We start from the raw sequence: 26,322 nt of genomic DNA, 5'->3' as shown, positions 1-26,322 counted from the left end.
CCACCCAAGATGCCCCTGCTGAATCTCTAATTTCTGAGATTTGTACACAGTCCATGAACTGAAAAATTAATCCCTGGTCCATCAGGGCACCTTCAGGACTCTGCCCTAACTTTAATTCGAATTAGTTGCATTATACCAGTTGTTAAATAACTTTTCTGTATACCTTCCTCATTCTAGTAAGGATGAAAATAACCTAATAACTTTATTTTTGAAGCATATACAATTGATTTGAAGTAAACTAGGGAAACCTTGTGCTCTCATGTCTTTTTTATTGCTGCTACCAGGAATCTTCTTGTTCTCTAAATTCATTGTTTCCCATGGTCTCCATAATCTTGACAGATGCTAAAAAGTCATGTGATAAAATATAACACCAATTTTGTTTAAAAACAAATACAGAAACTAAAATCTTCCAATGTTGGACACTATATAATATTTTCTGAAAATCAGAGGCAAATTTTTCATAAAAACTAATGTTAAAATATTTAACATGATTTCATGATTTCAATTCATTTCAACATGGTAGATGTGTGACTATAGAAAGCTATAACATGTTAAATGAATATATATAAAAGAATCAGGAAAAGATTAATAGATATAACTGCATAAAATAATAAAAATAATTGAAGTAATATTTGCACAAATAATGAACAAAGAACAGCACAAATCAATTGACTTGACAAAAATAGTTCTAAAATATTGTTTTATAATACCTTAGAATAACAAGTAGTAATAAGAAAAAATACGATAGGAATGTGGGTAGAACATATGAGCAGGCATTTTGTAGAAAAATACATTAAAATGTCAAATAGCATTAAATAAATAAATGTGCATAACTTTATGTTTTTATTCTATATGTGTATAATTAGAAGTAAAATATTTGGCTTTATTATTGATAAAATCGATTGTATAGTTGATCCTTGAACAATGTGGGGGTTGGGGACACCAACCCCTGTGCAGTCTACTAACAGCCTACTGTTGACCAGAAGCCTTACAGAAAACGTAACAATTGAGTAACACATATTTTGTATGTTATATGTTTTATATACTCTATTGTTACAATAAAACAAACTAGAGAAAAAATATTATTAAGAAAATTATAAGGAAGCGAAAATATGGCCAGGTGCAGTGGCTCATGCCTGTAATCCCAGCACTTTAGGAGGCTGAGGCAGGTGGTATGCCTGAGCTCAGGAGTTTGAGACCAGCCTGGGCAACATGGTGAAACCCAGTCTCTACTAAAAATTTAAAAATTAGCACGATGTTCCTGCAATCCCAGCTATTTGGGAGGCTGAGGCAGAAAAATCGCTTGAACCCAGGAGGCGGAGGTTGCAGAGAGCCATGATTGTGCCACTGCACTCAAGCCTGGGCAACAGAGTGAGACTCTGTCAAAAAAAAAATAGAAGAAGAAAAAGGAGAAGGAGAGGGAGAGGGAAAAGGGGAAAAGGGGGAAGAGGGGGAAGACGGAGAAGAGGGTGAACAGGGGGAAGAGGGGCAGGAGGAAGAAGACGAGGACGGGGAGGGGAAGGAGGAACAAGAATATTTACTACTTGTTAAGTGGAAGTAGATTATCATAAAGGTCTTCATCCTCATCATGTTCATGTTGAGTAGGCTGAGGAGAGGGGAAAAGGAGGGGTTGGTCTTGCTGTCTCAGGGGTGGCAGAAGCAGAATAAAGTCTGCAAAAAAGTGAACCTGTGCTATTCAAACGTGTGGTGTTCAATGGCCAATTGTATCTTATCATTACAATATATATATTTTAAGACTTGCTTACATCATCCAATACTACATTTTTAAATGTTACTTATGTTGGACATATAAATACATTTAACTCTCATATAGTATTTTATTTTATGAGCAAACTAATATATATTCTTTATTTTAATAATGGCAAAATCAAGGGTGACTTTATTAATCCATTTTCATGCTGCTGATAAAGACATACCTGAGACTGGGCAATTTACAAAAGAAAGAGGTTTATTAGACTTACAGTTCCACGTGGCTGGGAAGGCCTCACAATTATGGCAGTAGATGAAAAGCATGTCTCACATGGTGGCAGACAACAGAAGAAGGAATTTGAGCAGGGCAACTCTCCCTTGTAAAACCATCAGATCTCCCGAGACAAACTATCATGAGAACAAAACAGGAAAGAACTGTTCCCATGATTCAATTACCTCCCACCGGGTCCCCCACATAACACGTGGGAATTCCAGATGAGATTTGGATTGGCACACAGCCAAACCATATCACTATTCTTTACTTATTACAATCAATGCTATCATAAACATCCTTAGCAACATTTGCACATATCCTGTTAACCTAGAAGTTGAATCAGTGTGTCATTGTATATTATTCTCAGCTCTACTAGTAAATGTCAAATTGTTCTCCAAATTGACTAACAATTTCCATTCCCAACACCAGTATCTAAGAGTTCCAGTTTCCCCAGTACACAGGATTCAGTGTTTTCAGACCTCTTAATTTTTATCCCTTTGACAACTATAAAATAGTTTCATTGTTTTGACTTGAATCTTCCCTATTACTGCTTAGATTGATACTTTATTATTTTTACTAGTTATTCTGTTTTTTTTTTTCCGTACTAATATATAGTCATTCTTTATGTATTCTCATTAGTTTTGTTTCTTCATTGTTTGTTTTAAAAATATATTTTCCCAGTTTTTGGCTTACTTTTTAATTTTATTACATCTTCCTGTGCCATTTAAAAATAATATAGTCATATTTATTAATCTCACATAGTTTGTGCTTTTGCCTTATTTAAGAAATTCATCTATACCCAAAATACATTTTCATCAACATCTAGATGTGTTAAGGTATTATTTTTTATATTTAGATTTCAAATTCAGACAAAATGCTATGTTGCATCATGTGAAACATGAATCTAGATGAATCCTTCTTCATACGGGCAACATGTATACAGGTACCAATTACACCTGAGCTATTTCTGTGTTGTTCATTCCAATTTATTGATCTATTTGTCTAATTTGACACAAATACCAAATTGACCAAATTACTCACATTTTATAATAACCCTCAATAAACCTTCAATATTATGAGGTAAAACTAGCCATACATTTTACTTCGAAATTGTCAGCTTCTTTTGGCTGACAATCTTTATATGTGTTTATTGACCTCACATATTTCATGAAATATTATTGTATAATGGTATTTTTATTGGAATTGCACTAAATTTATTGATTAATTTGGGAAGAATTTTCATGTTCACCATAATAACTTCATCCATAAACATGTTCTAACATCCATCACTTATTCAAGTGTACTGTTATTTTTTAAATGTTTTATTATTTTTTCACAAAGATATTTTAAAATATGATATATTCCTACATATCTTATAATTTTGTGCTACTGTGAGAATATATGAGTCGGGATTCTTCACAGAAACAGAACCGATAGGCAATGGGAGAGACAGAGAAAAAAAGAGAGAGGGAGAGAGATTTACAATAAGAAATTTCCTCATGCAATTATGGAAGCTAGGAAGTTTAAAATTTACAGTGTGGGCTGGCAGCCTGGAGACCCAGGAGAGCCGACAGTGCAGTTGACGTCTGAAAAATTGTTCTCTTACTCAGAAAGGCTGGTTTCTGTTCTATTCAAGTCTTTAACTGATTGGATGAAGCCCACTCACATTATGGGGAGCAATCTGCTTTAATCGAAGTTCACTGATTTAAATATTAAACTCATTCAAAACATCTTCCAAGTTGACACTTAAAATTAACCATTACAGCGAATAGTATAATATTTAATATATCAATACATTTTAAATGTGTTCTATTTTACATACTTAAATGTATTTAATATATTTGAAATTTTAAAATATAATATTTTAATTAAAATCAAAATTAAAATGTTCTTTTAAAATGCTTTGCTTGTTTTGTATGGAAATTGCTAATATACTCAGAAATACATAGAATGTAATAAATTATTAGGATGGCAAAAAAGTAATTGCGGTTTTGCCATGACTTAATGGTAAAAACTGCAGTTACTTTTGCGTCAACCTTATAGCAAACTTGCTGAATTTTCTAAATATTTCCAGTGGTTTGCAGACTCTCCTATACCTTTTCTATGAAGATAAGCCTATTGCATGAAAAGAAGAACACTGTTTTCTTTTTTGTTTCATGTTTTCTTCTTATAGGAAATTGGATAGTACTTCCATACGATGATGAATCGAAGATATAATAATGAGAATTCTTCTCTTATTCCTGACTCTTTATACAGTTGGCCCTCTCTATCCATGGGTTCTTCATTCATAGATTCAACCAACTGCAGATCAAAAATAGTTGAAAAAATAATGGTTGCACGAATAGTGAACACGTACAGACTTTTTCTTGTCATTATTCCCTAAACAATACAGTATGGTAAGTATTTACATGGTATTTATATTGTTTTGGTATTATAAGTAATCTAGAAATAATTTACAGTATACAAGAGGATGTGCATAGGTTATATACAAATAATATACCACTTTATATAAGGGACTTGAGCATCCATGGATTTTGGTATTCATGGGGGATCCTGAAATGAATTCCACATGGATGCTCAGAGATGACTATATATGAATATTTTACTATGAGTTTTAATGTTTACAGTATAAGTTACATTCTGGTATATCTTTGTAGGTATACATACACAATATTTATGTGTATATATACATAAATCACAAATTCAAATTTATAATGTGGCAAGTATAGTGCAAAAATCATTGGTTTTCTCAGCCATTTAAGATTGTTACTGATCTGATTCCTATTATCTCTGAACACTAAATTGCTGTCTCTTTCTAAATGCTCCTACATAATCACAACTGTCAAAATCAAGAAATTAATATTAATACATTACCACCATTGATCCCAGACTATATTCAAGCTTTGACAAGTGTTTAAATAATATAATTTATAGTAAAATGATCAAATTATGAATCATGCCTTGATCAGTCTGAAACAGCTTTTCCCATAGATTTTGTAAAACATACTTTAATTTTGGGGTTGTCTCATGTTTCCATATAATTAGATTCAAGTTATGTATCTTCAGCAGGAATTTAAGCAATGTTCTATTTTTCTGCTTTCTATGAAATTATATACTGTCTCCCAACGCCCCTACTCCCAACCATTGCTGATAACATTCAATGTGATCACTTGATTAAGCTTATGTCTTCTACACTTCTTTCTGACTAGGCTTCAACATCCACATAAGCTGCAGCCCTCATTCTGCTCAGATTCTGAAAACCCATGTGAAGACCTCCAGCCGTATTATACACCGCTCTGCACTCTGGGTTCTAATATCTTATCCAGGTCCCCCAGTATAGCCCTACATCATCCTGCTTAGGCTCCCAAATGGCATACATGGCCATATGTCTGAGGTTAATATCTTCCTCAACCTGCAGGGCTTCTGCAGTACATGAAGAGCTTCCCCACACTTTTGGAGCCCTTTTGTCCTGTTTTGTTACTGACATCCCATGGCTGAGGGCAGACATCACTTGATGCCCTCTTCATCTCACTCAGGCTGTGACACCTACTGTGGATGCCCTCTTTATCATGCTTTGCTTCTGACATCTCATGCCAAGACACTCTTTCCATGCTTTGCTTCAACTAAGTACTGTAGAACTGAATTGTTCAGGAAAACAAAAGGAAGAAAATAAGAAGTGGATTGCACTTTTCTAAAATATGAGACTTTTTTTTGTAGTTGATATTTAATTCGTTTACATGGATTGAAATTACACATGTATTTGGAATTTTTTCCATCATGTTTTAATTTACTATGATTTTTCAGGTTAACATGTTTAACCTCTATTTCCTTCTTAATATTATCCTAATCAGTTTTTCCAGATTCTTTCTGTGTGTTTGAAACATTACATATACTATTTTTATTATATGTAACATATATGTAATATAAAAATATAATCATCCTTATCCCAGCACCTTCAAAATAGGGCATGTTTTCATTTTTAAGAAGGAGAAAATGCCTGTTCGGATGAAAACTAATCACTACACATCATTTTCAAGGGAGAAAGGAATAGCAGATGCTTAAAAGACTAAACAATGTTCCTTTCTGAATAATTATCTCTGATTATCCTTTTCTGTGGTTGACTAACTGTATATAAAAAAGTAATAAAAATATGTAAAAATATTTTACATATATTTTTATTATTATATTAAAGATAAATCAAGACAAAATAAATAAGTCTTGAGATTGAAGTTTAATGAATTTAAGAAACCACCATGTAACCAAAACTCCTATCAAGATACAGAAAAAACTTCAATCACCCCAAAGAGTTTCCTTTTTCCCTCTTTCAGTCAATCCCCATCATCCATAATCATAGATAACATTATTTTGTCTTCCCTTGAACTTTATTTAAATTTGATTCCAAATAGTATAGATTGTTTGAGGTGGGTGAGAAGGAAGACTGAAGCTGACTTCTTTTCCTGGGACAGTTTTGCTGATCATGATTGTTATCAGTAATACATTTACAAGTTGGCTGATATAAGTTAGTTTTGGCTCTGGTGACTCAGCTGGGGTGACTCTTCTGCAAATGTCTATTATCCTTATTGTGGAGCTACTGGAGTAGAAGCTTATGTGCTTCTTATATCAAGGGCATAAAAAGGCCAAAGAGAAAATATAAAAGCCCCTTAATAACATAAATTGAAACTGGCACATTGTCTTTTTGGCCTTACTTTGTTGACTCAAACAGACCAAAGTTGATATTATGGTTTAAATATTTGTTCCCTCCAAAATTTATGTTTAAATTTAATTTCCACTGTAATAGTATTAGCAGGTGGGCCTATTTCGAGATGATTAAGCAACAAGGATTCTGTCCTCATGGATGGGTTTAATATCTTTCAAAAAGGGCTTTTGGGAGAGGGTTGTCTCTTGCCTTTCCAACTTCACCCATGAGATGACATCACAAGAAGGCCACCAAAAGATGCCTACTCTTCAGTCTTAAATTTAACAGCCTCCAAAATTGTGAGAAATAAATTTCCATTCATTATATATTACCATGTCTCAGGTATTCTGTTATAGCAGCACAAAATGGACTATGACAATTGAGGGCTCAAATTTAAAGAGTGGGAAATATATATCACATCCATACTAGGAAAAACTGCAGTCACCTAGCAAAAGATAAGCAGCAGACAAAATAAGCTGGAATTCTTAATGAAATTTGCTTGAGTCTTCCTCACAGTCACAGTTCCCTCCCACATACAAACTATAATCATCCTTATCCCAGCACCTTCAAAGTTTAGTTCAGTCATTATATCAAGCTCTTGATACAGAAATATATGAAATAAAGACAGCTCATCTGCTTCTTCAATTCCTCACATGCAGTAGGGCAACAAGAAGAAAATAACTGCAATAAATATCCTGTATGGAAAGAGAAGAAAAAAAACCACATACAATAGTCACTGTTCCATAGTACTTATAAAATCTTTCTGTAAAACATATTTCTCAGTTCTCTTGCTCCAGGGGTTCTCACTTAGTGGTGATTTTGCTCCCCAGGGGGCTTTTGGCAAGGGATGGTGTATTAGTCCATTCTCACATTGCTATAAAGAACTATCTGAGGCTGGGTAATTTATAAAGAAAAGAGGTTTAATTGACTCAAAGTTCCACAGGCTGTACAGGAAGCATTGCTGAGGAGACCTCAGGAAACTTACAATCATGATGGAAGGTGAAGAGGAAGGAGTCACATCTTATACGGCTGGAGCAGGAGGAAGTGCAGGGGAGAGATGACACACACTTTTAAACAACCGTATCTCATTAGAACTCACTCACTATCATGAGAACAACAAAGGGGAAGTGTGCCCCGTGAGCCAATCACCTTCAACCAGGACCCTCTTCCAACATTGGGGATTATAGCTCAATATAAGATGTGGTTGGGGACACAAATCCAAACCATATCATTTCACTCTAGCTCCACTCAAATTTTATGTTATTTTCACATTGCAAAATACAATCAACCCTTTTCAACAGTCCCCCAATGCCTTAACTCATTTCAGCATTAACTGAAAAGTCTGCAGCCCAAAAATCTCATCTGAGACAAAGCAAGTACTTTCTGCCCATGAGCCTGTAAAATAAATAAGTTAATTACTTCCAAGATATAATAGGAGTACAAGCATTGTCTAAATACTCCCATTCCAAGGGGGAGAAATCAGCCAAACAAGGGGGCTACAAACCCTGTGCAAGTCCAAACCCAGCAGGGCAGTCATTAAATCTTAAAGCTCCAAAATAATCTCCTTTGACTACATGTCTCACATCCAGATAACACCGATGCAATGGATGGGCTCCTACAGCCATGGGCAACTCTGCCCCTGTGGCTCTGCAGGGTGCAGCCCCTTTGGGTGCTTTCACCAGCTGGCATTGAATACCTGTGTCTTTTCCAGGTGCATGGTGCAAGCTGTTGGTGGATCTACCATTTTGCGTAATCCATTATAAACTGAAATTATCATAAGGAAAAAATGTGTTTGATATACATAACCTACTGAACATCATAGTTTAGCCTGGCCTACCTTAAACATGCTCAGAAAACTTACATTAATGTAAGTAAGTTGGGCAAAATCATCTCACCCAAAGCCTATTTTATAATAAAATGTTGAATATCTCATGCAATTTATTGAATACTGTATTGAAAGTGAAACACAAAATTGTTATATGGGTATTTAAAATACAGTTTCTACTGAAAGCTTATTGCTTTTGCACATGACAAAGTTGAAATAAGTCGAATCATAATTTGGAGACTATCTTGCTCTGTCTCTGTGTGTATACATATATAGAGAGGATGCTCTGATACCTTCATAGAAAAGGATTGGTATATTAAAAAGACCAAAAAGAACCTCCCTTATATTTTAAAAACTTGAAAATTTCAGATTATGAAATAATTGTATCATACAGACTTCTGTTTGTGTTAAAAGACTGGAAAAAGTTCTATGTGCATGTTATTATCTCTTAATAGGAATGGAGTCAATACTAGTCCATGGGCTGACTGTAGCTCATCTGATGGAAAAGATAGTAGAGTATATTGATTAGAAGTAGAGCTTGAGGGAGTGACATTTACAGTATAATGGATTAAGTTTAATGACAAGACTTACTACTAGTCAATACAAGACTTAACCTTATAGCCACATTAGTTAGGCATTATTGTCCAAAATAATTTGAAGTAGATTAAATGATTTATTGAATAAACATAAATGTCTGGTAGAAGATAAACATTAGTTTTCTTCTGATGCAGAATTGTTTTCAGGATCCTGAACACATTTCTGTGTTTTTTAGCTTTCACACAGCATAGAGTAAAATCAATTAATTAAACCATATATTAAAGTGTAACTACATTTTAATTTTAGGGTAATATATATCACAAACTATGTATTCATATGCTAAGTATTATTTTAAAATTTGTCCCACAAAGAGTTTATGACTTTTTTTTGAAAAGCCAGACATTTGATTAAAATATTTCAGCAAATTATTTTGAATATTGAAGTGCAAAAAGATGATACCAAGTAAGGTTATTGTTCTTCTATAAACATATTAGATACAAACAATTCAAGTGAAGATTTTTTAGGTTTAAAATGTCTCAAGTTTTTTTTTAAATTGATAAAGTTTATACTTTTCTCCAAACACTACCAAAGTTATTTAAAAATGAGAGACATGTAGATAAAAGTGGGAAACAGAACAAATGCATTAAAATATTAAATAAAAATATCGTACAAATACAAAAAAAAGAACTTCCATCTTATTTATACTAATATGTTATACCTTTCTAGCAAACAAAATTTACATTAATTCAGAGTTCAGCTTTACATTAGCCTCAAGGTGGGCAAAAACATCTAATCCAAAGCCTATTTATAATAAAATGTTGAATATCTCATGTAATCTTTGAATACTATTTTGAAAGAGAAACACGAAATGGTTATGAGTACTCAAAATGCAGTTTCTACCAAATACATACAGTTTCAATAGAGTTCAGCTTTCAGAGTTAAGCTTTCAAGATCAACTCTTTATTTCCATTTACTTAAAAATTTTTGACTTTTCCCTAAGCTTTAAAGTAAGAACATTATTAGCCTTATTTCTCAATTTTTCAAATTAAGGGAAATGGACTTCAATTTGTAGAATAGAGACCTGTGCTCTAGAAAAAATTCCACATGTTTTATTTACTCTCTCTGAAATCTCATTTTCTCTTCTAAAGAGTTTTGTTTTTTATGTTCATTTTTATTAAATAAAATTTGAATGCAGAAAAATGCATAGAACTCAACTGCAAAATATATTAACTATTGACAAATGTATATACTATTGTAAGCAATACCCAAATTATGGTATAAATTCCTTCACTGTAGAAATTTCCCACATGGCATTTTCTAGTTTTTTACCAACTCCTGGCTTAGGCCACCTCTTTTATGATTTCTAGCATAGATTGATTTAGTCAGTCTTTGAATCTCACCAAATGGGATCATACAGAATGTACTCTTTTGTGCCTGGCTAATTTCCTTCAACATAATGTTTTTGGTATTGAGCCATACTGTTGACAGAGCAATCATTTATTTATTTATTTATTTTGTTTTTACCGAGTTGTTTTCAATTCTACAAATAAACCAAAATTTGTTCAACAGATCTGCTGATGGACTTTTGAATTTTTTCCACTATTGTCTATAAAAAATAAAGATGTTATTAACATGCCTATACAATCATTTATAAACATAGGATTTAATTGTTTTGGAGTAAAATTGCTGGGTCATAAGGTAGGCATAACTTTTAAAGAAATTGAAAAACTCTTTTTTGAAATGGCTGGACTATTTAACATTTCTACAAGCAATATTTAAGAGACTCATTGCTTAAAATCTGTGCTAACAGCTGATACTGTTAGACTTCTAAATTTTAGCCATTCTACTAGGTGTGTAATGGTATCTCATTATGGTTTTAATTTGCAGTTTTGTGATAACTAGTGATGCTGCATTTTTTAATTTGTTTTGCTTTTGTTGTTATTCTCTGCCATTTATTTGTGTCCTTTGCAAATGTTTATTAGATTATTTTATCCACTTTTCACTGGATTTTTAAATATTTTTATTATTGAGTTAAAATTCTTCAGAGATTTTGGATATAAGTCTTCTTTTTAGATGTATATTTTGTGAATATCTTTTAGTCTGTGGCTTACCAATTTAGGTTTTCAATGAGGAGAAATTTTAAGTCTAGTAAAGTATAGTTTAGCAATTTTCCTGTCATGCCTACTGCATTCAGTTTGCTCTCTAAGAAAAATTTAAGGCATCATGATGTTGAAGGGATCCTGCTAAATTTTATTCTAGAAGGGTAACATATTTTACTTTTTCATTTAGTTCTACAATCTAGCTTAATTTCATCACCATATATATATGTATATACAGGTGTTCCTTGACTTACAATGGAGGTTACACCCTGATAAAGCCATTGCAAGTTGAAAAACTGTAAGTTGAACCATTGTTAGTCAGAAACTATCTTCATATACACATATAAAATTTTTATTATATTTAATGCATATACACACAGATACATAGATACATATGCATATGTATAATTATTACATATATTTTTAATTGTCTTATTAGTATTTGCTCAGAAGATTTTTCTTCTCATTAAATTTATTGGAGAATGACTTTATCATAAGTTAGTTTCTATTTTTACACCCTATTTTATACTTTTATTTTTTATTTATGTGTTGCCTATTTATATATTTTAAGTTAGTTTCTCAAAGAATATTTTATAAATTTCAGTGTACAGATTAATCACATCTTCTTTTTAAAGTTTTTCTAAGTACGTATTCCACATTTCCAGTTCTTCTCTTTTTTAAAATTTATTTATTTCCAGTGTATAGTATATCATTTGATTTTTTGGAAATGTTTGCTTTTTGTCTGGACCTCATTAAATTCACTTATTAGTTCTACTTTTGTTTATGTCAATTTTATCTAGTAATTCTCTTCTCACCATCTGTCAGTTATAAAGATCTGTTACATCACCTTCTAAACATGTTTCAACCAGCCTGAGCAATATGGGGAAACCCCATCTCTACAAAAACTGCACAAAAAAATTAGCTGGGCATGCTGTGAGCCTGTACTCCCAGTTACTTGGGAGGCTGAGGTGGGAGGATCACCTGAGCCCAGGATTTTAAGGCTGTAGTGAGCCATGATTGCACCATTGCACTCCAGCCTGGGTGATAGAGTGAGACCCTGACTCAAAAAATTAAATTAAATTAAATTAAAAGTAAAAGCAAAAAAAAGCATGTTTCAAGTCAATCTATTTATTTCTAACTTCATGACCTTCACAGCCTTCTATACCTCTAGTATCTCTCCCCATCCCCAGATTTATTGCAGTATAATTAACAAAAAATGTATATATTTAAGGTATTAAATGTGATGTTTTAATGTACATATACACTGTGAAGTGATTACCACAGTCAAGCTAATTAACATATTTATCACCTCACAAAGTCATCAATTGTGTGTGTGTACATGTAGTGAGAACACTTAATATCTTTTCCCTTATCAAACTTGAGGCATGCAATACTATATTATCAACTATAGTAGCCATGTTCTACATTAGCTTTCCAGAACTTATTCATCCTAAGTAACTGAAACTTTGTACCCTTTGATCAACAGCTCCCTGTTTTTCCTACCCCACAGCCTCTGGCAACCCCCATTCTACTCTCTGTTTGTGTGAGTTCAACTTTTTTAGATTCCACAATTAGAGAGATCATGCAGTATTTGTATTTCTGCATCTGATTTCACTTAGCCTAACATGCTACAGGTTCATACACAGAGTTGCAAATGGCAGGATTTTCTTTTTTAAGTCTGAAAAATATTCCTCTGTGTGTGTGTGTGTGTGTGTGTGTGTGTGTGGCATTTTCTTTATTCATTCATCTGTCAACACGTTTTCATATCTTCGCTATTGTGAATAATGCAGTAGTGAACATGAGATTGCAAATATCAAGATAATTATTTCATTTCCTTTGAGTATATATCTAGAAGTAGGATTATATAATAGTTATATTTTTAATATCTTTAAGAACCTGCCTACTGTTTTCCATAATGGCTGTACCAATTTACATTCCCATCAACAGTGTAGCAGTTAAGGGCTGAGAGGTGGGGTGAGTCAGCAAGTCTTTCTGTGACTTCGGAAATGTTTAGCATCCTCATCTTGAGATACAAGATCTTGAGTTATAATATCTTGTGTACCACACATACATAAATACAAATATATAAATATTAAACCTGATTTCTCTATTTGGCTTTAAATATAGTACCTTCAAGAAAATTATTTAAAATACAATGCATTAAAATGACTACTAAGAATATTGTGATGTCAAGAATTTAGAGTAACAGAATACTCCCTATTATTGCTGATATAATAAAAATTGGTCCAGGTACTCAGAAGAACAGAAGCCCACAAAATCTGGTAATGAAAAAGGTGTTCTAGCCCTAAGTCTTAGCAATTCCAGATTGATCATAGAAAAAGTTATTGTTTAATCCTCTGAGATACATATATAAAACTCTGTAAACCAACATTGTTTGTGACAGCTCAGTGCTGGATATAATGTAGAATTTTATGAACTGAGAATCCACAGAAATTATGACATTTTCACATAATATAATATCAAACTGCTGTGAAAACTAATGTAGTCTCCAAGTATGAAAATTACAATTAGGTTTTCAGAAAAATAAAGTTGCCAAAGAATTTGCATAGAATTTCATTTGCAAAACTTAAAAAATAAAACCACATTATATCATTTAAAAATATATAAGTATGCATGAAATTAAAAATTATGATATTCTTCAACTGGAAATAAGTAATCAGGAAGTTTCAACTGTACTGTTTGTGTTTATTTTAAGGTGGAGTGGATATATAACAAAACTCTTATTATTGTATACATGTATCTTCATATATATATAACTATTTTAGAGACCACGATTTTGACAATACATATTAAAGTTAATTTTAATTAAAGATAAATTGCATCAACAGAAAATACATTTTATAGAAAGGCTATGATATGGTTTGGCTCTGGGTCCTCACCCAAATCTCCTATTGTAGCTTCCATAATTCCCACGTGCAGTGGGAGGGACCCAGTGGGAGATAACTGAATCATGGGAGTGTTCGCATAATTGTGTATAAGTCTCACAAGATCTGATGGTTTTGAAAAAGGGAATTTCCCTGCACAAGCTTTCTCTCTTTGCCTGACACCATCCATGTAAGATGTGACTTGCTCCTCCTTGCCTTCCACCATGATTGTGACTCCTCCCCAGCCATGTGGAACTGTAAGTCCCTTAAACCTATTTTTCCTCCCAGTCTCAGATATGTCTTTATCAGCAGCATGAAATTGGACTAATACAGTAAATTGGTACCAGTAGAGTCAGGTGTTACTGAAAAGATACCTGAACATGTGGAAGTGACTTTGGAGCTGGGTAACAGGCAGAGGTTGGAAGAGTTTGGAGGGTTCAGAAGAAGACAGGAAAATGTGGGAAAGTTTGGAACTTTCTAGAGACTTGTTGAATGGCTTTGACCAAAATGCTGATAATGATAGACAAAGAAATCCAGGCTGAGGTGGTTTCAAATAGAGATGAGGAACTTGTTGGGAACTGGAGCAAAGGCGACTCTTGTTATGTTTTAGCAAAGAGACTGGCAGCATTTTGCCCCTTCCCTAGAGATTTCTGGAACTTTGAACTTGAGGGAGATAATTTAGGGTATCTGGTGCAAGAAATTTCTAAGCAACAAAGCATCCAAGATGTGACTTGGGTGGTGGTAAAGGCATTCAGTTTTAAAAGGGAAACAGAGCATAAAAGTTAGAAAATGTACAGCCTGACACTGCGATAGAAGAGAAAATATCATTTCTGAGTAAAAATTGAAGCTGCCTGCAGAAATTTGCATAAATAATGAGGAGCCAAATATTAATCTCCAAGACAGTGGGGAAAATGTCTCCAGGGCATGTCAGAGGTCTTCACAGAAGCTCCTCCGATCACAGGCCCAGAGGCTTAGGAAGAAAAAATAGTTTTGTGGGGCAGGTCCAGGGTCTCCATGCTGTGTGCAGTCTAGGGTCTTGGTGCTCTGTGCCCCAGCTGTTCCAGCTGTTACTAAAAGGGTCCAAGGTACAGATTGAGCTGTGGCTTCAGAGGGTGCAAGCCTCAAGCCTTGGTAGCTTCCACATGGTGTTGAGCCTGTGGATACACAGACACAGAAGTCAAGAATTGAGGTTTGGGAACCTCCTGCTAGATTTCAGAGGATGTATAGAAATGCCTGGATGCCCAGGCAGAAGTTCACTGCAGGGGCAGGGCTCTCATGGAGAACCTTTGCTAAGGCAGCTCAGAAGGAAAATGTAGGGTTGGAGCCCCCACACAGAGTCCCTACTGGGGTACCATCTAGTGGAGCTGTGAAAAGAGGGCCCTCCAAATCCCAGAATGGTAGATCCACTGACAGCTTGCACTGTGTGTGTGCCTGAAAAAGCCACAGACACTCCATGCCAGCTGGTAAAAGCAGCTGGGAGAGAGGATGTACCCTGCAAAGCCTTAAGGGTGGAGCTACTGAAGACCAAGGAAACTCACCTCTTGCATCAGTATGACTTGGATGTGAGACATGGAGTCAAAGAAGATCATTTTGGAGCTTTAAGATTTGACCTGTCCCACTGGATTTTGAGCTTGCATGGAACCTGTAGCCCCTTTGTTTTGGCCAATTTCTCTCATTTGGAATGGCTGTATTTACCCATTGGCTGTACCCCCATTGCACCTAAGAAGTAACTAACTTGCTTTTGATTTGATAGGCTCATAGGCAGAAGGGACTTGCCTTGTCTTAGATAGGACTTTGGACTGTGAACTTTTCAGTTAATCCTGAAATGAGTTAAGACTTTGGGAGACTGTTGGAAAGGCATGATTGGTTTTGAAATGTGAAAACATGAGATTTGGGAGGGGCCAGAGACAGAATGATATGGATTGGCTTTGTGTCCCCACCCAAATCTTATCTTGTAGCCCCCATAATTCCCACATGGTGGGAGGGACCCGTTGGGAGATAATTGAATCATGGTCTTTCTCATGCTGTTCGTGTGCTAGTGAATAAGTCTCATGAGATCTGACTGTTTTAAAAATGGAAGTTTCCAGGCATAAGCTCTCTCTCTTTGCCTGCCACCATCCATGTAAGACGTGATTTGCTCCTCCTTCCCTTCTGCCATGATTATGAGGCCTCTCCAGCCATGTGGAACTGTAAGTCCATGAAATCTCATTTTCTTCTTAGTTCCAGACATGTCTTTTTTTTTTTTTTTTTTTTTTTTTTTTTGACATGAAATCTCACTCTTGCCCAGGCTGGAGTGCAGTGGTGCGATCTCAGTTCACTGAAACCTCCACCTCCCAGGTTCAAGCAAATTCTCCTGCCTCAGCCTCCTGAGTAGCTGGGATCACAGCCTTCTGAGTAGCTGGATTACACCAAGCCCCATTAATTTTTGTGTTTTTAGTAGAGACAGGGTTTCCCCATTTTGGCCAGGCTGGTCTTGAATGCCTGACCTCATGATCCACCTGCTTCAGCCCCCCAAAGTGCTGGGATTACAAGCATGAGCCACTGCACCTGGCCTTGGGTATGTCTTTATCAGCAGTGTGAGTACAAACTAATACAGGCTACAATCAACAATCGTTCTAAGAAAATGTTAAAAATGACAATAAACGATCATATGTATCTGGGAAAATATTGTGTCAGGGAAAAACTGTCATAATCATTAGTATTTAGTTGACAGTGAATATGTTTCACAGTTCTGTAACTAGGAAATAAATAAAACAATTGTATTTATATACTGCAATATGGTTTTGTACTGGCACATTTTCTCTTCCCAAATGCAGTCACAATGACTGTAGAAAGTAAGAGTGATGTTGATCTAATTATCCCATCAAATGCATATCATGTGTGAAGGGAAGCAGAATACTCATTTTCTAGTTATTAATCCTGATCAACTGAGAAAAGTGAAGAATAAAAATGTCTTCCATTTTCTTTGCTACTTGAAATTGATAGGCTATATATGAGGAGAAGCATACGCTTTTTTTTTGGAATTTCTATGCAGTGGCTGTGTCCAGTATCTTTAAAGACCAAGAAATAAAGTCAATTACATGATTGTATATTTAGAAAACCCCATCGTCTCAGGAGGTTTTTCTTAAGCTGACAAGCAACTTCTTCAATGTGCAAAATCACAAGCATTCCTATACACAAATAACAGACAGAGAGCCAAATCATGAGTGAACTCCCATTCACAATTGTTACAAAGAAAATAAAGTACCTAGGAATACAACTTAAAAGGGATTGAAGAACCTCTTCAAGGAGAACTACAAACCACTGCTCAAGGAAATAAGAGAGGACACAAACAAATGGAAAAGCCTTCCATGCTCATGGATAGGAAGAATCAATATCATGAAAATGGCCATACTGCCCAAGGTAATTTATAGATTCAATGCCATCCCCATCAAGCTACCAATGACTTTCTTCACAGAATTGGAAAAAACTACTTTAAAGTTCATATGGAACCAAAAAAGAGCCCGCATCGCCAAGTCATAAAGGTGTACTGTGGTGTGGACTAAACTATAGCATAGGGCTGAAGAGTTGATATTCTCCTAAGGTATGAAAATAAAGGTGTATTGTGGTGTGGACTAAACTATAGCATAGGGCTGAAGAGTTAATATTCTCCTAAGATATGAAAATAAAGGTGTACTATGGTGTGGACTAAACTATAGCATAGGGCTGAAGAGTTAATATTCTCCTAAGGTATGAAAATAAAGGTGTACTGTGGTGTGAACTAAACTACAGCATAGGGCTGAAGAGTTAATATTCCCATAAGGTATGAAAATAAAGGTGTACTGTGGTGTGGACTAAACTATAGCATATGGCTGAAGAGTTAATATTCTCCTAAGGTATGAAAATAAAGGTGTATTGTGGTGTAGACTAAACTATAGCATAGGGCTGAAGAGTTAATATTCTCCTAAGATATGAAAATAAAGGTGTACTATGGTGTGGACTAAACTATAGCATAGGGCTGAAGAGTTAATATTCTCATAAGGTATGAAAATAAAGGTGTCCTGTGGTATGGACTAAACTACAGCATAGGGCTGAAGAGTTAATATTCTCCTAAGGTATGAAAATAAAGGTGTACTGTGGTGTGGACTAAACTATAGAATAGGGCTGAAGAGTTGATATTCTCCTAAGGTATGAAAATAAATGTGTATTGTGGTGTGGACTAAACTTTAGCATAGGGCTGAAGAGTTAATATTCTCCTGAGGTATGAAAATAAAGGCATATTGTGGTTTTGCAAGCTGAACGTAAACAGCTTTAGTGGACTCTACTAACAGGTGAAAAGGAAAAAGCACGTATTATATCAATAGCTGCATACCGGATACCAGGGCATGCGTTAATGCACTCAAGCAATGCAACTACATCTGGTACAACAGCTGTAATTGGTGTTACCACGTGGGTAAAGCTTATGATAATTCATTGTCATTCTCCAAGATCCATCTGTTTTCTGCACAAGCAAATAGGCAAGTTAAATGGGCATGTGGTGGATATCAGCACCCCTACATTCTGAGTTGGGAAAATAACCATAGGATGGGATCAGGGATCCACTGGACCAACTGCAAAATGCACCTTGGCTATAACTCCATTATTCAACTGACCTATAAGCCCCTACTCTGATATATTGCAGCAATGTTTTAGGTCTCCTGGAATCAGTTTGGATCCAATGTTCAGTATTGATTACTTGTTTTTCTCCTAATGCAAAGTCACCCTGACAAAAGGCTATACATCCCTTTTGGAAAGGATGGGGAAAGATTAATGATATAAATTTTTTTGGCAGTATAGCGAAGTCCTTCCTCAAGGGAACCTGGCCTCCCTTTCATTCAAGGAGTTCTGGATCAGTAATTGGCTCCATTCTGGGAATTGATAGAGGTGCGCTTTCTGCTTTTATGATTCAATTTAGACTCCTATTTCTTGACCTAGATCAATTAGACAAATAGTCCGACTCACAGATAACTTATGGAATTGGCTAATTGATCTTGGTGTCCCTAGGGGTAGAATAGATGGAGAGTGTGCTAAATTCTTACCTGATCTGTATAAGCTAAAGAAAGAGTTCTAGGTCAGGAATAAATAATCGGAAATTTTCAATTTCATTTGTAGTGTAGACCAGCTTTTGTTTGAACCAATCAACTAAACTGTTAGATCTTTTTCTAACCCCTCATGCTGCACTATTAAATGAAGGATCTCTGCTTAGCTGGCCTGTATCAATAAATTTAGCCAGATCCAACGTTATGTTCCTACTATCCCACAACCTTAATACTTATTTCTCACATATTCCCAGGGTTTCTGTGTGTATAAATTGAAAAAATTATGTAGTTCTTTTGGCTTCTGGCATATCTACTCATGGGGTACACTTCGACCTCAGCTTTCTGCTAGAACTTGAGTCTAGGTACAAGTCTAGAATAAAAGAGTCGTGGGAGGGGGGCGCTGAGGAGGATTAACAGCATCTTGCAAGGAAACTACCTGGGGACGGGGCATTACAGTTTCCTCAGTCAATGCAGGTTTAATCTCTAAATGATGGTGAAAGGGACACTTCTAAAATTCAGTAAAATTTAAGAGTACAATTCCCTTTTCTTCATTTATAGTATTTTCAGATGACCCATTCAAATTTTGAGGATCCCATTTCTTCCTTAATCCTTACTCTTAAGATCTTCAACAGATTGGGTGAGACTCACCCACGTTATGGAGGATATCTGTTTCATTTAAGGTCTACTGATCATCAATGTTAACCTCATCAGACAGCAACATCCAGACTGGTGTATTTAGATTAGTGTTTAACAGAAGTGGATACCATAGCCTAGGCAAGTTGACACACAAAAACTAACCATCACAATGTATGAAATATTCAGTATGGGTGTCTATTTTTATTTTTTCTTTTGGTGTATTTTTAATATTTAGGGAAGTTTATAATTTTGCTCTAGAAATTGCATGAATGATTTTACGTTTGTAAAATATCCTTTTTCTTCAATTCTTTTAAACACCATGAACATGAAGTTGTATAGTTTTCCTTTCCCCTTTCCAGGATACCATCACCCACATTTAATAGATATCAATAACTTTCGAGTGTTTTTCATTGTTTCCTTAAATAGACTTGATCTTTTACTATTTGATTTGTAGCTTTAAATAATACCCTTTGACATCTAGCAATTACGATGATGTAATCAGAAAACTAACTTTATTTTTTATCTTCTTATCAAAGCCATCTGTTCCGTTTTGTGTTAGATGAATTATTTCCACATTATCAGAGCATATACAATATATAATCTATTCTGTCAACTTTAGCCTTTCTTTCATTTATTTGTTAAATAGCAATTACTCCTTTCCACCTGGAGTTCATCCCCTCATAATGTTGTCAAGGAGGCTTCCGCAAACAGTATTCACAAAGTTTCTTGCATGTTCAAAATGTGTTTTGTTTTTAAACTTCAAGAGCACCTGCTTTGTCTGACTCTTTCTTTCCTAAATTATCATAGATTTTTCTACACTCTCTCTCCTGGGTAGAATGTGGTTGTGGTTGTGACTATTTCACATTATAAAATGATGACTGTATAAATTATTATACAAACTAGAAGGGGTTTTGGAGTGAAATGGGTCAATATCATGGTATAATAATTATACCAGCATCATAGGCATAAAATCTGACTGTTTTGCACCAACTGTAATAAATGGAGTTTTGTCCTGAGACCAGCATGATATGTGTTATTTTACATTATCCCTAGACAAGTTGATAACCACATGGGGAAATGAGACAGGACATGAGAGGAGTCCAAAAATGAGTATGATAATAGAAAAGTCCTGCAAAGAACAGCTTTTACTCAATCCTTCAAAAATAGTCTATTCCTGATTAGAGAAAAAGCGCTTGGAGTATTTAAGCCTCTACACACATCTCTCAATGTTTAAGAGCTGTTAGCAGGAGAACAAAAGTTCGGAGATAATAGTTCTCCAATTCTGTAGACAAATCTGATTCTGGCTACTTGTGCATAGTACATAGTACATGGTGCTAGAGAAGCAGGTACTTACTATGGGGAATAGAATTACATGGGGACTTTATGCAAACAAATGTTTAAGGAATCTGATATGATATGAGTGACACACTAACAGTACACCATAATGCAGGGGAGACTTACTAATATGGTTTGACTGCATCCCCACCCAAATCTCATCTTGAATTGTAGCTCCCATAATTCTCACGTGTTGTGGGAGGGACTCATGGCAGATAATTGAATCATGGAGATGGTTTCTCCTATACTGTTCTCCTGTTAGTGAATAAGTCTCACGAGATCTGAAGATTTATTTCCTCTTTCACTTGTCTGCCAAGACAATGTAGACTTGTCTGTCTACATTCTCTCTTGTCTGCCACCATGTAAGACGTGCCTTTAGCCTTCTCCATGTTCGTGAGTCCTCCCTAGCCACCTGGAACTGTGAGTCCATTAAACCTCTTCTTTTTTATAAAGTACACAGTCTTGGGTATGTCTTTATCAGCAGTATGAAAACTGACTAATACACTTCACTGTCAATCTCTAATTTTCAAATTGTGGCTAGTTACAATTTCTAGGGGAAAAAGTTATACGAAAAGTGTTAGTGGCAGGAAAAAAAGACTCCATCACTTGTTAGTCCAAAGGCCTTAATTGGTATTTTTATCTTACTCCTCTTCCATCTATTCTTGTATACCTCTTGTATATGAGCATGTGCAGACATGTTATAAGTTAAGGTTTCTTTTTTGTCTTTAAATATACTTACATTCCCTCTGGGATAAAATTGTTTAAAAGACTATAATTTTTCTCATTGAATAACCATGGAAATACTTTCAAAAATTTAAGCACATAAAAAATGACATGTTTCTGGATTTTCTATTCTGTTCCATTATCTATACATCCAGTTGTAAACCTCAGCCATACTACCTCTATGACTGGTGCCTAAAAGGAGTATATAGGGAGTCTTGGAAGAAAAAGGTGCTGCTCATCTAATTTTGTTCTTCTTCCTAGAAATCATTTTGTATATAATATGTCCTTTGGATTTCCATATAAAATTTAGAATTAGCTTAACAATTTCTACAAAGAACTTTGCTACAATTGTTTTTTAAATATGCATTGAACATATAGATCAATTTGGGGAGAGATACTATCATAACAACATTAAGCCTTCCAATCTGTAATCACATTATACATTGCAATATATTAGGTTAGTGCAAAAGTAATTGCAGTTTTTGCGTTACTTTCAATCGTAAAAACTGCAATTACTTTCACACCAATCTTAATATTTCGATCTTGTTTTATTTTTCTCAGCAAAGTTTTGAAGATTTCAGTAAACAGGTATGGCATACATTATGCTAAGTTTATTCCTGTGTTCATGTTTTTAACGTTGTTACTAATGGCATGTGTTGTATTAATTTTTATCTTTCTCATATTGCATTGGCAAGAATGTTGATGCAATATTGAATTTCAGTGGTTAGACTGGATATCTCTACTTTGTTCTAGAACTTAGAAGGAAATAATTCGTTTTGTTCATGTAGGGCCAGCTTCATGCACTGTACCTTGTACAGTCATACAAGATTTCATGCTCAGAAGTGCCCTGTTTTTGATTTAACACTCTCTTATTACTGCCTTAAATTTTTAAATAATTTTACCTCTGTGTTTTAAAAGTGCAGTATGATGGGACACTTGAGTACAAGTGTGAGCAGAGATGTCTGTGATATACATGTTCAGTTTCTTACTGTTCTATTCACATACAGCGTTTGTGATGCCACGTGAACGCAGAATTCTTGTGGACCCACAGTGCTTGAAAGTTCAGCAAGACTCTGAGTACAAGATAAGCATTTTATGTCTATAAATGAGTGAGCAAGGTTGACAACTCCAAGAGGCTACACTTTCCATTCAAAACCAGAACTCAATTCAATTGCAAACAAGCAGTGACTTTCCAATAAACACAAACAACCATGGAACCCTATTACATAATTTATTTTCTCTGTTACTTTACTGCATTATTTAACTACCTATGCTGAAAGTGACACAGAAGGAAAGGAAAAGAAAGAAGGAACAATAGTTCTTTTTTTTTGTCCTTGCTTATTACTTATTCCATCTATTTTTGTTGTTGCTTTTTACTTGCTCTTTGTCAGTCTTTTATTATTTTTGTATTTCATTTTAAATACTGTTAATCAACTATAACTATTTTTATGGTTGTTTTGTGTTCACAATATATATCCTTATGTTATTAGTTTATTTTAACATAATACTGTACCATATAAACACACAGTATAAGCAGCGTGTTATGTCCCAAAAACGGTTTCAGAAAATGAAAGGAAACTTCTACATTGGTAATCATTGTTTGATTATGTATACCTTAGCTTCCATCAAATAACAGCTTCCTTGCTTAAAAACTGTAATAGTTCATCTAGTTCAATTTAGTTAGTGATAAATTCCTCTAACTTTTGTTGTTGGGAAAAGTATCAGTTTTACCTTGATTTGTTGTAGATATTTTACTCTATATAAAATTCTAGATTGATGGTTATTTTTCCTTCCTACTTCAAAGATATTTTATTGTCTACTGCCTGGCATAGTTTCCTTTTTTTTCTTTCTTTTTGCTTTCTTTTCTTTTCTCTTCTTTCTTTCTTTTTTTTTTTTTTTGAGACAGAGTCTCAATCTCAGACAGGCTGAAGGGCAGCATCATGAACACAGCTCACTGCTTGACCTCTCACACTCAAGCCATCCTCCCACCTCAGCCTCCTGAGCAACCAAGACTACAGGCGCAAACCACAATGCCTGGCTATATATATAATTTTTTTTTTTTTTTTTTTTTTTTTTAGAGACTGGGACTCACTATATTGGCCAGGCTGGTCGCAAACACCTGGGGTCAAGCATTCCTCCTGTCTTGGCCTCCCAAAGTGCTGGGATTTCAGGCATGAGCCACCATGCCCCGTCCTGGCATACTTTCTAATGAGAAATCTGTGAACATAGTTATCTTTGATTTTCTATACACTATTACTAGATGTTCATCCACGGCATGTGTGGTTTACATTGTGCAACAGATTGAAGCAGATAAAAGCCATTGTCTGTACATCATACTTCTTTCTAATACATGCTCTGCAATTTTCCAGCCAAACCCACCTGTCTGAAATTCTATCTCTATCTCCTCATATCAAGGAGATTGTCATGCTGTGCTTTGGATACCTCTCTGCATCAAGTTCAAGAAAATCCCTTCAGACAGAAAGTCAGAGTAATAACCGAACTTACATCAATTTTCTCTCTTCTCTTAGAGTTCATAGTTCTGTGCTGCTTATGGTAAAATATCTGACAATTTATTAGTTCTACGTTTTATCCTGTTTCCTATTTTTGTAAGGCAAACAGACAAGTTCACATCTGGTTATTCTACCATAGTTAGAGGCTTTAAATTTTTATTTTAATACACTTACTATGGTGGCATTTTAGAGTTCTGTTTTTTTAAATTTTTGTCTTCTCCTCCTCCCTCTTCCACACCCTGCATTTCTGTTTGTCTACTCTTTGACTGATGCATTGTTCCAGCTCAGCTTTGAGCACGTTGGTTCCTACGCTATATGATGCCATCTTCTTCCTGGGAGCGCATTTTATTAGGTGATTTCTAAGTTCTCTTCCCTCCTTGTCTCTTTGTGTCATAGCAATGCAACACTTTGCCTGTTATGGATTGAATTGTGTGCCATCGGCGAAATTCATATGTTGGAGTCATAATCCTCAGTACCTCAGAAACTGACCTTATTTGGAGATAGGGTCTTACAGAGGTAATCAAGTTAAAATGAGATCATAAGTTCTGCCCTGATTTAATATGACTGAAAAGGGGGAAACTTGGAGAAACACACACACACACACACATACACACATCTCCATGTGAAGGAGTACACGGTGAAGATGGCCATCTAAAAGCCCAGGCATAAGGCCTGAAACAGATTCTTCCCTCAGAGCCCTCAGAAGAAATCAACACTGCTGAGACCTGATCTTAGACATCTAACATCCTGAACAGTGAGACAGTGAATTTCTGTTGCTTAAACTATTCAGGTTGTGATACCGTGTTACGATAGTCTTAGGACACTAATACATCCCCCTATAAATTTTAGAAGAGAAGCAGGAAAATTCAAAACTAAGCTACCATCATTTTTCTTCCAGAATATCTTATTATAAAATATATGAAAATTTTCACAACATAAAGCTTTACAGTGGATGAAGGCCAACCAAAACACATGCCTGCCCGTGCACATGTGCATACACACAGAAAACTTTGGGCATTACCTTAGAAATCTGATAAGTTTCTCACTTTAATATTCAACTCTTTGACTACTTTTTTCATGTGCATGTGCAACTAAATGTTATTGGAGCAAAACACCACATGCTGATTGCTCTCAATTTAAATGTGTGATTGTTAATTTCAGAACAGTTGGTCATCATTATTACTTAGAAATTAAATTACACGGCCGGGCACAGTGGCTCACGCCTGTAATCCCAGCACTTTGGGAGGCCGAGGCAGGTGGATCACGAGGTCAGGAGATCAAGACCATCCTGGATAACACGGTGAAACCCCGTCTCTACTAAAAATACAAAAAAAAAAAATTAGCCTGGCGTGGTGGTGGTCACCTGTAGTCCCAGCTACTCGGGAGGCTGAGGCAGGAGAATGGCGGGAACCTGGGAGGTGGAACTTGCAGTGAGCAGAGGTCGCGCCACTGCACTCCAGCCTGGGCGACAGAGCAAGACTCTGCCTCAAAAAAAAAAAGAACGAAAGAAAGAAAAGAAATTAAATTACACATTTCAATGAATTTTTCATTCCACTCTCCTAGAAAGCTATTTTAAACTTCCTTTTTCCACAAATATTCAGAACTACCACAGTTATCTTTACATCACCCAATGATCTCACTTCCCATGTTGCTAAGAAAATTGGATCAATCACAAGAGAACTTTAGGATCCACTACCACATGTACCCAGCGCCTGAGACCATGCCCAACTCCTTGCTTGCTTGTTCATGCGGATAAGCTATGAAACTCCTAGCTACCAACTCACTTTCATTTTTGTGCACTACATCCCTTTGCTTTACCTATAAAAATTTGGCTTTGATGTTTTATTCCTCTTTCTAAAGCATCTTCAAATTTTCCCTCTCTCCTGGATCTTACCATCAGTACATAAATGTGTCATTGTATCTGCATCCTATAATAAAAGCTCTCTTAATTTCAATTCTGTCTTCATCTACAGCCCCGTTTTTGTCTGCTTGTTTGATTGATTGGGTTTTGTTAACTTCCCTTTACAAGAGCATG

At 35.3% G+C, this 26,322-nt stretch overlaps 1 long non-coding RNA gene and 1 other non-coding gene across 2 annotated transcripts in view; both read left to right on the top strand.

Annotated features, from left to right (window-relative positions):
- MIR548XHG (MIR548X host gene) overlaps window positions 1-26,322 on the top strand; it is a 198,548-nt gene that overhangs the window by 51,416 nt on the left and 120,810 nt on the right. The window lies entirely within an intron of this gene.
- Window positions 22,233-22,307, top strand: MIR548X (microRNA 548x). The gene has a single exon (NR_036166.1). It is a non-coding gene; the product is annotated as a microRNA 548x (primary transcript).

The sequence above is a fragment of the Homo sapiens genome, chromosome 21, assembly GCF_000001405.40.
Source record: "Homo sapiens chromosome 21, GRCh38.p14 Primary Assembly".
Lineage (NCBI taxonomy): Eukaryota > Metazoa > Chordata > Mammalia > Primates > Hominidae > Homo > Homo sapiens.
Note: the sequence above shows the minus strand (reverse complement) of the source record. Positions and strands in the feature narration are given on the sequence as shown.